The following is a 17,702-nucleotide window of genomic DNA, read 5'->3' as shown; positions in this document are numbered from 1 at the left end:
GGATTACAAGCGTGAGCCACCACGCCCAGCCTGAAACTGTTTTCTTGATTCTGTGATTGCTCCATGTATATCTTCTCCTCATATTTATATTGTATATACAGTTATATGTAGTGTGGTATTGAGAATGTATAACTTTTCTTAAGAAGATGTGAACCTAATGGAAAAGAGATTTTAAAATTCTAATAAGGGCGAAATACAGCATCTTGTGCTGTAAGAATTACATTCATACATAATATGGACTTCAGAGCCAGTCACTATTTGACCCTCAAAAGCACAGATTGAGTCATATATAATCTTCAAAACATAGTCCAGCATCGTTTGTCGAAGGTATGTATGGCATCTCTTTTGTAAGTTAAGTATGCCATGTCTTGCAGATTACTTGTAAAATTCTTACCTAAAAAGCTGTTAATTTTATATTGCATTCTCCCTTTTAAATTATATTTAAAATTACCAAAGTTGTATACCACCTTTGAGTTCTAATTTCAATATTGCCAATAGGATACAGTTGTGTTTTGCTTGAATAGTTAAATGGTAAAATTGTATCTTTCTGACAGGATTTAAAATAAATATAGTAACCCCATAACCAGGGCCTATGAAAACTTAATCTGTGGGTGTCAAAATGTATTTTACTTGCCATGAAATTGCTGCAGTTAAGTTGACACATATGTATATGTCATACATGGCAATCAACAAATATGATTCGTAGATATTTTGTTTGGTTGTCATTAATTTTTTCATCCTTGCTGAAAGTACACTTAATAACCTTTGAGGAAATCTAATGCATTTATCACTGAATCAGTGATTTCTTTTTTCACCTATTGGTGTTGAACAAATAGCACATTAGGAAGCACATAGATTTATATGTGGTTTAAAAACAATGTAAAAAGCATTTTGTTTATTTGTATTTGTATTTTGAGATGTAGTTTCATCCTGTCGCCCAGGCTGGAGTGCAGTGGTGTGATTTCGGCTCACTGCAACCTCCAGCTCCCAGGTTCAAGCAGTTCTCCTGCCTCAGCCTCCCGAGTAGTTGGGACTACAGGCGTGTGCCACCATGTCCAGCTGATTTTTCTATATTTTTAATTAGAGACAGGGGTTCATCATGTTGGCTAGGCTGGTCTCAAACGCCTGACCTCAAGTGATCCGCCAGCCTCAGCCTCCCAAAGTGCTGGGATTACAGGCATGAGCCACTGCACCCTGCCGTAAAAAGCATTTTCTAAGTCAGTTAACTCAGCATCTATGATCCAAAGGCTATTCTTACGGAAGACCTTTAGAACTCTTTATTGCTTAATTCTATACACCATAAATGTTGTGAAAATAAAAGAAGCCTCGTAAGGGAAAAGGTAGCTTATGATTGTGCTCTAATAAAGCCTGACATTAATTATGACATGGGAAATGGAAGGTCTATTAGTTATAATTATAATTACAGGAATGCAATTTCAACTGCCTAATATTTAAGATAAAAAATGCAAAATAGTATGTTAGTAGAGTATAAATTTTTATTCAGGAGAAAAGAAAAAGACTTCAATCAGAAGACAGTGAGGAAACAAGAAATAGATATTTAGGGCTAGCTTAATGAACCAGTACAGTATGATCATGATTGTATCATGATACTAGGTTCTAAAAGATCCAATCCAATCCATCTATTATTGTCCCTTTCCTTCTCTTCTCTAGCCTATTATGCTGCATAAAGCAGTACACATTTTTTGTTGTTGTTGGTTGGTTGTTTTTGTCTAAATCCAACATGATATTTTTTTTCATGCCCTTATGGTCAAATGCCCACATAAGAAGTGTTAAATACACATTGAGTGCTTCATCTGGAGTGCGTCATGGAGATTCCCGTAGAAAGTATCCTATTTTCTTAGAGTCAAGACTGTTTTCTCATTTTCATGACCACATATGAGGTTTTGCAAATTCAGAATGTCCAGTGACGCAAATATTTTAGATGTTTATAGCAATATATTTTATTAGAGCTGAAAGTGTTAGGTGGTTGGTTGATATTTTGCTTTTTTTGTTTCATTTTATTTTACTTTTTGATATCTTACAGTAGATTTTTTTAGGGAGTAGTGAGCACATGAAACTAAACTTTGACTTTAGAGAATATCAGCACACAATGTTCACATGGTAATTTCACTCTCAGGAATTTATTCTAAGAAATAGTGAAAGATGCATAGTGAATGTTTGAGAGAGACAGAAAGCAAAATATTAAAAATATATAATAGGTGAACGGTAAAGTAAGTTATGGGTACTTGTAAAAGAAATATTATGCAGCCATTAGAAGTCAGATTTTTGAAAAATATTTAATGAAATGAGACTACTGAGTTTTTAAAAGTATGCAAGGCATAACTCATGCAAATTAAGAGCCAGTACAGAAATACCTTGGCTATATATAGGTGGTGATATTATAGGTGATATTTTGTATCTGTGAAGTATTAATATTTTATATTTTAACAATGCTTATGTGCTGCTTTCCTAATCAAACAGAATGAGTATTTAAAAAAAAAAATCAGTCGGGCCAGGCGCGGTGGCTCATGCCTGTAATCCCAGCACTTTGGGAGGGCGAGGTGGGCGGATCACGAGGTCAGGAGATCAAGACCACGGTGAAACCCCGTCTCTACTAAAAAAAATACAAAAAATTAGCCGGGCGCAGTGGCGGGTCCCTGTAGTCCCAGCTACTCTGGAGGCTGAGGCAGGAGAATGGTGTGAACCAGGGAGGTGTAGCTTGCAGTGAGCTGAGATCGCGCCACCGCACTCCAGCCTGGGCAGCAGAGCGAGACTCTGTCTCAAAAAAAAAAAAAAAATCAATTAATGTATAGTTGAAGAAGAGAAGTGTCCAAACTCATCACGTCAGTCCTATAAGTGAAAACAAGTAAATGATGTTATAGTCTCACACGTTGTAAGCGTAAATGACTTTCTATTGGTTTGTGTCTAGTACTGCCTTAGAGGAGGGAGGGAAAATGATGCCTTACTTAGTGGGATTCATGTTCACCTTGCACAGTGCTTGCAATGCTACCATTAGGGTTTTATTCCTTTGCACATTGCAGTGTATTAAAAATCTTAACTCAGTAGTTGGTTGGAGGAGTAATGTACATTAATAAGGTGTTTTTAGCCCTGAAGACCTATTCTGTTATCCTAATAGGTTTAAACAATGCTTCTCGGCCATGTGGTGGAGCAACTTAATCAGAGTAGGGAATGAAGAGAGGGAAAGAAGAACTTTCAAAGGCAAGAGGAAGATAGCTAAAATAAGAAAATAAAGGACAATGCTGCATACTTTGAGCTTAGAGAGAGCAGGAAATAAAAGCAGAGGGTAGAGGTGAGAACTCAACATCATATGTTTGCCGAAGAAACGGTTTTTGCATTTTTAAATTGTGTTTCTTAAGGCCACTCCTGCTGCTACTCATGAGGCCTTTTTTCAATTTGGAGGCACGTAACTCTTTGACAGCAAATGTTGTTCGTGCTATTTTAAACTGGGAAGTTGACACAAATAAATGTTTCATAGAATTCTAAATCCTGTTATCATGAAAGCTCTTGAAGTTCACCTACTTCAAACTTCTCCACACCCAAATTTTACAGATAAATATCTGAGGTTCATCCAAATGAAGTAATTTACCATCAGTTACAGATATATTGTGAAGCAGCCAAAACTAAAATTAGGATTTTCTAATTCTTAGTTTAGTGAAGAGTTCATGATTTGTCTTTCTACATAATTGTTCAGATTAAAGGGAAATACTGAGTGTTTTTGTATGGTTTTCGAAGGATCTTCATGATCCAGGGCATCTGCTTGAAGATACGAGGTGTGCTTTCACTAATTTGGGAGGAGCACATTTCACATTAAATAGTGCCCACATTTTACTCTAAATGTTAGGTGTTCACCGCAGTGAGGTAGCAAAATAGAGCAATTCAACGATATAAATTATGAAGATGCATTCTGCTTTCTTTTAAAAAATATACCACGAGCATTCTTAAGAACTGAGATTATCAAAGAAGTGATCTTTTATAATAGCTCTTTTGAAAAAGACTGAAAAATAATGAGAAGAAAAAGTGGCTAATTAATGGCCCTTCCAAGCTCTAAGTCCTTGATTGCATGAACATAGAGTTTGAGTCTTCTCATTGGACCTCGCTCTTTCTTTCTTAATGCCCTTGATGGCTCAGTGGCTTACACTTCACCTTCAGCTGTGCTTTTCAGACCATTGTCAGCTGAATCCATTTTTCACAAGTAAGCTTATGAGGGACTACAGGATCTCAAATCGATGTAAAGAAAGCTGTTGTTGAGGAATAGGGTGCTTTTTCCATTCTTCATTTTATTTTATTTTATTTTTTTAATTTTTTTTTTGAGACAGAGTTTCACTCTTGTTGCCCCGGCTGGAGTACAATGGCACGATCTCAGCTCACCACAACCTCCGCCTCCCTGATTCAAATGATTCTCCTGCCTCAGCCTCCTGAGTAGCTGGGATCACAGGCGTGCGCCACCACCATGCCCGGCTAATTTTGTATTTTTAGTAGAGACGGAGTTTCTCCGTGTTGGTCATGCTGGTCTCAAACTTCCGACCTTAGGTGATCCGCCCGCCTCAGCCTCCCAGAATGCTGGGATAACAGGTGTGAGCCACTGTGGCTGGCCCATTCTTCATTTAAAATCCATCCATTATTCACCCCAACAACCCCTCCCAGGCTCCTCATATACTTCCTTATTACCCTATTAGGGCTTTGATAAAAGCCAGTAGAAAAGCCTGTAAATTTAGAGAACGGTTATCTGTCCTTAGCACATCGAAAAATTATGTGTAGGCAGAAAAATGATGAAATAAATACTGAAAAAATATTTACCTTATGTTAAATACGTTAAAACTGGAATATGTTTAACTTTCATCTGTCAGAGCTGACAAATCTATCTGCTATTCACATAGGCCCAAGCTGGCACTTTAATCAAGAAATTTAAATACTCTTGGGTTTCTGAAATGGCAAGAGAGGAATGTTTTTATATTGTAAATGTTATTCTATGTTTTGCTGTGTTGGTGGATACTCATCCTAATCAAATAGTAGGAAAAGTAGTGAAGTAATTCCTAATGCTGCCTGTAGTAGTAAGCATTGCTTGGGCTTCCCCTTGCAGAGTTTATAATATGGTTTGAAAGTGAAACTTGTAGGATTAAATAATTGGGTAATGGAGCAAGAACAACATGGTTATTTTCTGCATCCATATAAAAATATAAATGTGTAGTGTTTTATAGGTTTGGAGATGACATGTCAGAGCCTCAATCAACTGACTAAACTTGCACAAAACTTAAGAAAAAAATAACAACATTCAGAGGGCTAAAATATCCCAGTCATTTATTTCTAAACTATTACTATTGCATTTATTACTACTACTCATCTAGCAATATCTCAGAAATTGTGTCATCAGGATATTTTACCTTAAAAAACAATTTATTGCTATTTACTTACAAGATGAGATACGTGTTCTAGGGAAACTAACCTCATACATATTTTCCAATACACTTTTCTTTCATCCTTTCTGAACAATTGGGGCACACATAAGCAACCAAAAATATTATCCAGGAAACAGAAAGTATGCAGTGATTACAAAAAGGAAAGCTGTTGAAAGACACTAATTAAAGTCAGATGGAACACAGGGAGTAGAAATAAAGGTAACTGATATTTATTTTGAATATTCAAGGCTTACCATAAACTAGCAGGCTTCATTATTTCCAAAATGGAAAGCCCATGATCAATAATTTCTCCCTCTTGAACATTCTATGTGTGTGTGTCTTGTTTTGTTTTGGCTGATGTGTTTTAAAGAGATAGGGTCTCGCTGTCTTGCCCAGGTAAGTTGCTAACTCTTGGCCTCAAGCAATTCTCCCTCCTCAGCCTCACTGTAGTTGGGATTACAGGTGCATGCCACCACTGTCTGAACATTCCAATGTCACTTACTATTCAGTGTTTTCACATTGAAGACATTATTTTATCTTAGTTATTTTTTAAAAATTGTATTATTGCTGGGATTCTAATTAGGCAGCTAAGGAGGAAAGGAAGTAGAATAGTATTTTTCTATTCATATTCCCTTTGAAAGTATGGAAGTGTCACCAAGTTGTTACGAATGTATGCCTTCTTCTCTTCTCAGCAACCACAACAGTCTATCTCAAGGCCCGCCTCCCTCTTATATAGTTATAGAAGGCCTAGAATTATAAAAACCACAATATCTAAAACTCTGAACACCTAAACAAATTATTTCAATATAGATAATGCATATACTTCTCAAATCAATCTATTATGAATTTTATATCCAGCCCCTAATAATTATAAATTTATAATTCATGTATTACATTGATCAGACTTTAAATATATTGAATAATGGAAGTTAGACAACATATTACAATTATTTTAAATATGAAATATTACATTTGAAGATATTCATTTTCAGTTTGTCATTTTTATTTACATATTTTTGAACCACCTTAAAAAGTAATTCCTTAGAAAATATTGAATATTTTTAAAGCCCTGGAAAAAAAGTTAGCAATAAATTAATAATTCGGTATACGTTCACTCTTTGGTGATTTTCCTCTGTCCCATATTTTTTCTGAATGGTGGGTTCATCTCCCACCTGCCTATGTTAAGTATTTTAGTTTTGAGCTCTAACATACTGCCATAAATTTATTTATTCTGTATGACTGTATTAATCAGATATTAGAAATTGGAGGTTGAATATTTGTCATAATGCCATAATAAATAATCCTTCCCAGGTTTAAAACCAAAGACTGGGCAGTTTTTCTGTTTATCCTCTTCCTTTTCTGTAGGCATGGCAAGGATCTGTTGATCAGTGGTTTAGAGATATACACAGGGACTGTTTACTGCAACTTTTTTCTCACATGGCTTCAGGTCACTGAAAGAAAAAAGTGTTTTTTTCCCCTTCGGAGTCAAGGAACAAAGTACAAATGGCTGATAAAACCCATTCCATATTCAATACTATTCAGGATAGGATTGACTCTTCAAAAAATATTTCCATAATTGCTTATATATTGCTTCCTCTCCATAAAAACTCTGGATATTTTTAAATATTGCCATCTTTAGTAATTTCCAGGGCAGCAATGATTATGATTCCATGAACTTTGGCCTTTTGTGCTTGATATGTAACACTTCCAAAGGCTAAACCGTGGCCTTATTCCATTACAAAACATCACTTGCTTATGGCTACATTTTCTCCTGAAACATGGCAGCTCATTTTTTCCCTCCTAACTCTAAAACTATTGCTTAAAGAAATTCAAGTGTAGGATCACTTGGGAACTTTAAAGAATGAGCTATTGAACTTTCAGAAAATGTTAACATCTTATCTCTTTCTCAATATCCAAAGATAATTTTCTTTTACACATCCAGTGATTTGTGGACTAGTAGATCACTTAATCTCTGATTTTTAGGTGCTTCAATTGTGAAAAGTGACAGTGATGTCTTCCTAATTGATTTTGTTATTGCAATAGAGGTCATAGATTGGCCTCACAATTTGACTTTGCCTTTTATTGCTTAGCATGTCTCATATGAGTTTTCCTCATTTCTTTTGGAGTTAAAATTGCAAATCTCCCAAATCAGTACTCTGGCCCACTATATCAGTTTTTCTAAGAAATACTTAAATATGCTCTAAATCTACAGTTACAGTAAGTGGCATTGGCTCTAGTGATTTGATTTGAGAGTTGAGACTACAGTCTGGATTTACTCTTTATGCATTAACACAGGCCAAATGGACAGGGACTGCATTTTAAGGCAGTAATGGAAGGCTGAAGGCTGTCTTAAACCAATCATACCAGTTTTACCCATGACTGATTGATCCCTAGGGGCAGAGCCCTGTAAGCATTTCTCTTACATGAATGGACGCTATAGAGCCTGGAGTTTCATTCATAAAATGGAGACTGAAAGGAAACACACACACACACACACACACACACACTCACTCACTCTCTCTGGAATGTCCATTTATACAGAGCTGAAGGGTGTAGTGTTCCATCAGCTGCTGCTTATGCCAGTTGACTGGAAGTAATGATTAATGCTCATTGGTCCTGCTTGCAAGTAACCTGACACTATTTATGGCCTTGCAGTGTTCCTAATGTATAGTGAATGAGAAGACAACATTCTCAAATCAGAAACATAAACAGGAACTGGTGGGTCTGAATTCCATTCAAATATGTCATTTCAGCCCCACAGTGTTTGTCTAACTTGGATTTTACAGGCAGGAAAGGGGGAAGGGATGGATAATCTGCTTGTGAGTTGTACTAGCTTGGAAAAAGGCAATTAGAAGGGGGTGGAGTGTGCTTTTATAGGGTGGGACTTTTAGTTTCTTTTTTAATAAAACAACCAGGATATTTAGGCCCAGAACTGCTTATTTCAAGTGGGTAAAGTGAACATACAACTGTTTTTATAAGTGGAACTGAGATTTGAAATTAAATGAGACAGTTTAAAGATACATGTTTGGATCTCTCTTCTCTCTCTCTCTCTCTCTCTGTGTGTGTGTCTTTGTGTGTTTTTGTCTGTTTCATGAATATGAACAAAAGAAGGGAACATATAACATTTTTTAAAGTGTTTACATAACTAAGTATCTGTTTTTAGGTTTCGAATATAGTTTTAGAATTTTTACACTTAAATGATTTCTATACTTAAATGAGTTAACTAATAGGTTTGAGGAAAAGAGACATTTTATTTCATAAAACATTTTCAACTAGGATATGAACAACTTGAAAAAATTTTCAAGGAATTTTTATCAGATTAAATAGATGGTTATTGTTCTTATTTTGTGTGTGTGTGTGTGTGTGTGTGTGTGTGTGTGTGTATGGTTTCTATTTAGTTGTTTCTAACAATCTGGAAAATTTTACAGGAGAGTAATTCAAAGATAAATATGAAAAGTATCAAAAAAAAAAAACCAAAAGAACAACAAGCATGTGTTATTGTGATTCATTTAACTATTCTCTTTAAAAGTATTTTTCAACTCTCTGTTCTGGTAATTTTTTTTTTTAGTATGTGGGTCTGTACATTTCACTGCTCCATCTGTTTTTCTTAGTATTAAAAAATAAAACCACTCACTTAACATGACACTGGAAATATTATAGTAAATCCTGGGCCTGACATCCATTTACGATTTGTGTCATATTGAGCATGTTTTGTAACCCCTTATGCCTCCAGTTTCTTCATTTATAAAAGGGCAAATAACTCTCATCTTTTAGTGTTTTTGTAACGGGTAAATATGGTTATGTTTATAAAGTCACTGATACCGTTTCTAGCACATAATAGGGGTGCAGGCAATAATAAAGGATTCCCATTGACATGATTTTATTTTGACTAGATACTTCTTCAAAGACTGCTAGTCCTTTATTAAGATGCCATTATTATTTCTAATAATTTAAAGTACAGTATTTGGGGCTAGAGGATAAGATAAAATAAGAGAGACAATACTCTTAAAACAATCATATTGTGCTAGTCCAGCAAGAGAAACAGTCTTGCTGAACTTCTTTTTTTTTTTTTTTATTATACTTTAAGTTTTAGGGTACATGTGCACATTGTGCAGGTTAGTTACATATGTATACATGTGCCATGCTGGTGCGCTGCACCCACTAACTCGTCATCTAGCATTAGGTATATCTCCCAATGCTATCCCTCCCCCGTCCCCCCACCCCACCACAGTCCCCAGAGTGTGATATTCCTCTTCCTGCGTCCATGTGATCTCATTGTTCAGTTCCCACCTATGAGTGAGAATATGCGGTGTTTGGTTTTTTGTTCTTGTTTACTGAGAATGATGATTTCCAATTTCATCCATGTCCCTACAAAGGACATGAACTCATCATTTTTTATGGCTGCATAGTATTCCATGATGTATATGTGCCACATTTTCTTAATCCAGTCTATCATTGTTGGACATTTGGGTTGGTTCCAAGTCTTTGCTATTGTGAATAATGCCGCAATAAACATACTTGTGCATGTGTCTTTATAGCAGCATGATTTATAGGAAACAACAGGTGCTGGAGAGGATGTGGAGAAATAGGAACACTTTTACACTGTTGGTGGGACTGTAAACTAGTTCAACCATTGTGGAAGTCAGTGTGGCAATTCCTCAGGGATCTAGAACTAGAAATACCATTTGACCCAGCCATCCCATTACTGGGTATATACCCAAATGAACTTCTTACTAGTATTATTCATATGCAAAGCAAATAGAAAAAGTTATCTGAATATTGTGGTGATCCAAGGAGAGATGAAAACAAGAGGACAAAGCTGTTCATGGTATGTTTTTTTTCAAATCATGTAGTTTCCAGCAAGAGAGAAATTTAAAATTGAAATTCCACATTAAAACCACTATCTCTTCAGAATTTTGTGTGGCCCATTTTGGCAGCTAATGGCATCCTGTATCATACTTTCTTTTTCTTTTTCTTTTTTTTCTGAGACAGAGTCTCACTCAGCCTCCCAGGCTGGAGTGCAGTGGCATGATCTCGGCTCACTGCAAGCTCCGCCTCCCGGGTTCACGCCATTTTCCTGCCTCAGCCTCCCGAGTAGCTGGGACTACTGGTGCCCGCCACCACGCCCGGCTAATTTTTTGTGTTTTCAGTAGAGACGGGGTTTCACCGTGTTAGCCAGGATGGTCTCGATCTCCTGACCTCATGATCCACCCACCTTGGCCTCCCAAAGTTCTGGGATTACAGGCGTGAGCCACCGCGCCCGGCCTCATATTTTCTTTTAAACCTCTGTTAATTGTCAGAGTATGGTAGTATGAAATAAATACTCAAAGTTGGTCAGGCGCGGTGGCTCACCCCTGTAACCCCAGTACTTTGGGAGGCCAAGACGGCAGATCACCTGAGGTCAGGAGTTCAAAACCAGCCTGACTTAAGATAGTGAAACCCTGTCTCTACTAAAAGTACAAAATTAGCAGGGCATGGTGGTGCATGCCTGTAATCCCAGCTACTAGGGAGGCTGAGGCGGGAGAATCACTTGAACCCGGGAGGCAGAGGTTGCAGTGAGCTGAGATCGCACCGTTACACTCCAGCCTGGGCAACAAGAGCGAAACTCCGTCTCAAAATAAATAAATAAATAAATAAATAAATAAATAAATAAATAAATACTCAAAGTTACAGTTGTGTCTATGTTTTCTATCACTTCAACTTTATTTTAAAATTTCAGCTTAGTAAGACTATCACAGGCTTGTAAAACTTGTAATAGTGCGAGCCTAGTAGATCATATAATCTAATGTTGTTTGGATCTGGTCATTATTTGTGTGGGGTATTGTCCAAAAGAAAACCCCAGGTGCTTACAAGAGAAGTTTATAATTGTGTAGATAAAATTCTATACTGTTATTTTTCGCCATGTAGCCTTAAACTTTCAAAAGCACGTAAATTCAGATAACTGCGATAACTGCATTATTTACTTATTCTACTTTTACTTTTTCTTTCTTTACTTTACTTTTACTTTTTTTTTTTTTTGGACAAGGTCTGGCTCTGTTGCCTAGGTTGGAGTGCAGTAGTATGATCTGGGCTCACTGCAACCTCTGCCTCCTGCGCTCAAACCATCCTCCCATCTTAGCCTCTTGAGTAGCTGGCACTACAGGTGTGTGCCACCACATCCAGCTAACTTTTCAAGTATTTTTGGTAGAGATGGGGTTTCACCATATTGCCCAGGCTGGTCTTGAACTCCTGGGCTCAATCAATCCTCCCACCTCGGCCTCCCAAAGTGCCAAGATTACATGCATGAGCTACTGTGCACAGCCTACTCTTTTTTTGAGATGGAGTCTCACTCTGTCACAGCTGGAGTGCAGTGGCGCGATCTCGGCTTACTGAAACCTCCGGCTCCTGGGTTCAAGCGATTCTCCTGCCTCAGCCTCCCGAGTAGCTGGGATGACAGGCACGCGCCACCATGCCCAGCTAAATTTTGTATTTTTAGTAGAGACAGGTTTTCACCATGTTGGCTAGGGTGGTCTCGAACCCCTGACCTCAGGCGATCCGCCCACCTTGGCCTCCCAAAGTGCTAGGATTACAGACGTGAGCCACCACGTCTGACCTCTACTTTTCTCTCTTTTTTTTAAGATTTTGCAAATGCTATTACAAGCATATTAAAACCATCTAAAAATTAACATATTTCTCCCCCATACTCAATCAATAGTAGATTCAGTACATCCGAGCTATTGTGAAGTAAGTATCTCTGCAGATTTTACATTATTTATATTCACAGTTTACTTAAAACCCTAAAGAGAAAGATCCCATCTAAGTGTGAGTGAGGTAATACTAAATTCATCACTCCCTTGTCAGGATTTCTCCAGCTTTGCTGCCTTCTTCACATGAGGTTCAGTAACTAAGATGTTACATTCATGTGAAGTTCAGTAACTAAGATGTTACATTCGCATCCAGTTCAGTAACTAAGATGTTACATTCACATCCAGTTCAGTAACTAAGATGTTACATTCACATCAAGTTTAGTAACTAAGATGTTATATTCACATTGAGCTTCCTAATGAACAGCAAATAGGTCTTATAAAACTTGACTTTTTTGCTATCATTCTCACATGAATTCAGATATATATGTCCTTATTTTGGAAGATAATTACTTTTAGACTTGTTCTGCAATAGAGTGGTCATATGGTAAAAGTAAAAAAAAAAAAATTATTTCCATTATCATTCATTCTAGGAAACTTTATGAAATAAGTTTTCTCAATTGAGTGCACTCAATTTGACATGTGACAATTGGAAAAGCAGGCTAAAAGTATGGCATATACGTGATGGCTTTGCATTTAAACACATCTGCATAAAACTCAGGTAATCTATGCATCCTTGTAAACCTTTGGATTTTAAACATAAACTATGAGCTTACCAGCAAATGAGAAGAAGTAAGCAAACAAAAAATCTAGTGAAGTACTAAGTTTAAAAGAGATAAAATGTTGGCAAGATCTGTCACTATGCTCATCTTTCTTGAATGAGATTGGTGATATTAATTCTTAATACAACTCAGTATTTTTTACATAATAGACAAATGTTTTTGAAAAACTAGTTGAAACTCCTAGGTATGCATTGATACACACATTTTTTACTGAGTATATGATAATTTCAGATATGTGTTTACATACACATTTTGGCTCTGGATATTTTATGCACCAAGTTTTAGAAATCATCAATATACAATAGACAAGTTTATGTGCACTTGATTTTGTCATATCAACTCCACAAGGAGTTAGTCAAGTGTATAATCAATCCAGCTTTGCACTATATACTTATAGGAAAGCAAAACCACATTAAAATACAACATCAAACATATTTATATTTTACTGAGATTTCTCATTTCCTCTAAGAGATTCAAATGCTTAATTAAGTTATACAGTCGTTATTGGTAGAAGAATTTAACCAAAAGCATCAAATGGAAAAGACTTGTTTTTCTCCCTTATTTAGAGGTTATAATATGTTATAATTCCAGATTTACACACTATTTGATAGCAGAGCAATTTCAGCCAGCTCTGTACAGATATTTCAGGCAACTGTGGCAAATCTTTTCTCTTTGCCGTGGCCTGATGTAGATCCTTGAAATTTTAAGCAAACTCTGCCCTAAAGGAGAGCCTCCATTCTGCTATAGAGGCAGCAAATATGCAAATCAGAGAGTGCCTAGCAATTTTAAATGTGCAAATTCAATACTGCACTTTGTGGTCAAACCTTTGGTAAAGCTTCCCAAATCAATATTATGTTTCCCAGCATAGCTTGAAAATGCAAATCAAGAGACAGAGAAGAAGGTAACTTTTTTTTTTTTTTTTTTTAGTTTCTTGTCTGCGTATTTTAATTTGAAGAGAACTTTACTGATGTTACTAAACGTGAAAACTAATCAAATTAGATAGTTTGGGGTGTTAGTTTATTATTCTTCTTAACTTCCGCTACATTGATTAGTGCATTAAAATGACAACAGGGCTTTGTTGCTTTGAATTTTTACAGCATATTAGATCAGCTTTCATCACCATGAACTCATCTGTAACAAATTATAGGCAGTTTAATTTCTGTAAGCTGATTTGGCCAGTACTAATATGTCATAGAGCATTTTGATCCACAAGTTTTGAAACAAATAAAATTCTTTGTCCTAAATTAAATTTACATAATTTAATTTTTAGATTTAATTTAAAACTTTTAAAACCAGAGCGCTTTAGGAGCTAACATGAGGGGGTAATACTGTAAAAAGAAGCTCAAAAGAGGTACCCCCGGCCGGGCGCGGTGACTCATGCCTGTAATCCCAGCACTTTGGGAGGCCGAGGCGGGTGGATTACTTGAGGTCAGGAGTTCGAGACCAGCCTGGTCAACATGGTGAAACCCCGTCTCTACTAAAAATACAAAAAATTAGCCAGGCATGCTGGCGGGAGCCTGTAGTCCCAGCTACTCAGGAGGCTGAGGCAGGAGAATGGCCTGAGCCGGGAGGCGGAGCTTGCAGTGAGCTGAGATCACGGCACTGCACTCCAGCCTGGGCGACAGAGCGAGACTCTGTCTCAAAAAAAAAAAAAAAAAAAAAAAAGAGGTACCCCCAAATAGTTAAAGCATCTACTGGAGAGTCTGGCTTAAACCTTATAAGTTTATAATGAATTTTATTGTATTTTAGATATCATAGATTAATAGATAGATTTGTGAAAAATATTCCAAAATAGATACACTAATAATCAACAAATCAGTCATCTCATATAATTTAAGAACAGCAGAGTAAGATAACAAATGTAACTTATTTAGATATATAATTATTTTTAGTTTTAAGTACTGTGGTTAAAGTACTCAGTTTAAATACTTGTGAGGATCACTTAAAAATAGTGTTATTAATAATAAGTCCCATATGGTGAATTCTTACAGTGTGCAGATACTGTGCGAAATGTTGCACATAACTTACTCCACGTGGTCCTCCCAACAACCCTTTTAAGGATGTCATTATTATTATTATTCCCACTTTACAGATGAGGAAGTTGGGAGTTAGAGATGTTAAATAACAACAAAATGTCATACTCCCATGCAATGTCAGAACTGAGATTCAAAATCAGTTCTATCAGATGACAAGGTGCCTGTTTATAACCATTGTGCTGTACTTGTACTAATGATCCTTAAACTATAATCTGTGGATGCATAATAGGACAGTGTGAATATGCTGTCATCTTAATATTTTTGCATGAGTTAAACTACAGCTTGTTACGGTTGTTGAACTTTGTACATTTTATTCGTGAAGAAACAGAACTGAATGCATATGCAATGCCTCCTTCCTCTGCCACAAAACATTTGCCTTTGAAGTCGCCGCTTAGCTAGTTTGGATCATAGTCAAGCATTTAACAAAAGTTAAAATGTAATGCCAAACTTCATTGGTTGGATTTTTTATTAGATAAGGTAGAAATGAAAGCAGCAGGCAATTTAATTAGCAGTAATTTTTCTGGGCAAGTCATTACTTTGATGAACTTCAGAGCAATGTTTATGGCTCCTAATTAACCATGTTAGTCATTTGATTGAATAATCACTTTGGAAATGTTTCTACAATTTGATTAGAGTCTGACCCACTCTGATAGTCATAAATTAACTGATATCACTTAAGGATAACATGACTTTACTTACTTTATGGGGATAATCTCCCCTTAGCCATATTTTTTCAGGCTTCTCTGGACTGTATAAAGGACACCAATTTTAAGTATAGACCAGATTTAAACAATGCTAGCCAAGTGTATCCATTTTAAGAGCTAGATGTTAATTTTATTTACACTAGAGTATAAATAGTAACAGCAATTGGCAAAAACACAGTCGTATTCCATATATTTCTAAATTGCCATCCATTGCTTTTTTGAGTTCACAAGTTGGGCCTTTGGAAGTGTAATGGAGATTCTGGCATTAACCTTATTATATGTTATTAATTTATTATGAATTTTAAATCAGTATATCTTAAATATCATAGATTAGAATTTATTAAGAATGTTATAAAGTAAATATAGCAATAAACAAATCAGCCATTTGAATAGAGATGGTATTAGTGAAATTATCCATCAGATCTCAAATTTGATGTCAAATATCTAGTTTTCCAGGGTTATGCTAATTTTGTCATATGTTAAAACACTTTTATAAGGTGTTCTTTGACATTAAATAGTGAATTTCTCAGAAATGTTTGCACTTCCTTTCTCCCTCCTTTTCTCCCACTCTGGGAAGGAAAGACTGCATTTAGTCACACTTATATGTAATAGAGTTTAGCCTATCTGTTTTCCTCTGGCTGCCTCCAGAGTCAGCCAGCTGTTTTTATAGCCGCAATCCAGGTGTGCAGCAGTCAATAAAAGTATTTTGTGGCAGGGTGTCAACATTAGTTCAACAAAATGCTTGCCTCAAAGCAGCTGCTGAGCTGATGGCAGAGTTATTAACACTGTCCCTTCCAGTCCCAGCTGCTTTAAGGGACCTTACGTCTGGGAATAAATCAAAATAGCATTAAAAATTAATTTGAAGTACCATTGGTTAAGAAGTTGGGCTAAAATGGATTGCTAACTATTTGGTAACCCAAAAGATTAACTATACTGCAACCCTATTATAAATGCAGATATCAGGAAACAGTGTTAACTCTGTCTTTTATATGGTCAGAATTATATGCTTCATAATACTTCATATGAAGAAGGCATAGTATAATAGCATAATAAAACTTTTGATAATACATTTTACAGTATTTTCAACTTGAAAGCTTCTAAATATTTCCAATGTTGCTATATTCATAGAATGCTATGGGATTATACAAATTTATTTGCTAAATGTCCTGATGCATATTTAAAACTTGTGACCCTGTTTCAAGGACACCATCTCATTCATGTGGGTTGCTGTTTGAGCTGACTTTTAGCAAGGTTTATTTGGGTAAAACTTTGAATTCACCTTCCTATTCAAGAGAATCAGCATTCACCAAGATATATACTCTTCATTCTTTCATTTCATGTGTGGGCCCTGCCTGAAATGTTGATTATATGTTGACATGTTCCCCACATTGGAACCTGTGTCCGTTTCTGTATCTTCTCTGTCTGCACCCTGTCCATTGATAACCGCAGCGTTTCAGCTCCAGACTCTTTTTGACCAATATTGTTTCCTCTTTCAGAAGTGCCTAGCTGCCACTCCATTTATATGAGGCAAGAAGGCTTCCTGGCTCATCCCAGCAGAACAGAAGTTAAGTTGTCCACCACTGAAATTCCGTGTAAATACCGTTCAGAATAATCAGACATCCCAAATATGACGTCATTTAATTAATCATTATATTATTTGGGAAAAATCATTTATGTTCCCTAAGCAATTGTTTTAAGACTATCTCCAAAGTAAAAAGAAGATGTTTCAAGTAGTGGTATCTTGTTGTTAACATGAGTCATATGCGTAGAAACAACTGAAAAGTGGATTTCTGTGTTCTTTTTTGCCAACAACCACATCCTTTTAAAATAGAACATATGCTTTATAGATTAGCCCACTTTACTACTACTGAAATGTATCTTTGAGGAATATTTGGTTTTGCTTTTACAGACCTAGTCATAGTTTTGGAGTAAAATGCCATCGATTTAAAGGTTTTCACCTTTAAATGTTCTGGATTTTATATTTTTGGACAAATAATTTATATGAATGAGATTTCACATAGGAGGCCTAGAGAAAGAGTTTTCTCATAGACAGGCTTGTGGTAACCGTGGTAGGAAAGCTTTGCCTGTAAAGGACTTTGATACCTAAAAAGTAATGGTAAAAATGATTTCGTCTGGATAT

At 36.2% G+C, this 17,702-nt stretch overlaps 1 protein-coding gene across 18 annotated transcripts in view; it reads left to right on the top strand.

Annotated features, from left to right (window-relative positions):
* The window catches only part of ETV1 (ETS variant transcription factor 1), a 100,197-nt gene that overhangs the window by 63,060 nt on the left and 19,435 nt on the right, over window positions 1-17,702 (top strand). For 17 of the 18 annotated variants that reach the window (NR_120445.1, XM_011515168.4, NM_001163148.2 and 14 more), the window contains one exon: window positions 17,059-17,127. The exons of the other annotated variant lie outside the window; for it this stretch is intronic. Coding sequence is in view for 16 of the 17 variants with exons in the window: in XM_011515168.4 (XP_011513470.1) it covers window positions 17,059-17,127 (69 nt within the window). In the remaining variant the exon portion in view is untranslated. The remainder of the gene's footprint in view (window positions 1-17,058; window positions 17,128-17,702) is intronic. 18 annotated transcript variants of the gene reach the window in all.

Source organism: Homo sapiens, chromosome 7 (assembly GCF_000001405.40).
Source record: "Homo sapiens chromosome 7, GRCh38.p14 Primary Assembly".
In the NCBI taxonomy this organism is placed as follows: Eukaryota; Metazoa; Chordata; class Mammalia; order Primates; family Hominidae; genus Homo; species Homo sapiens.
The sequence above is the reverse complement of the archived record's forward strand: the minus strand, read 5'-3'. Positions and strand labels throughout refer to the sequence as shown.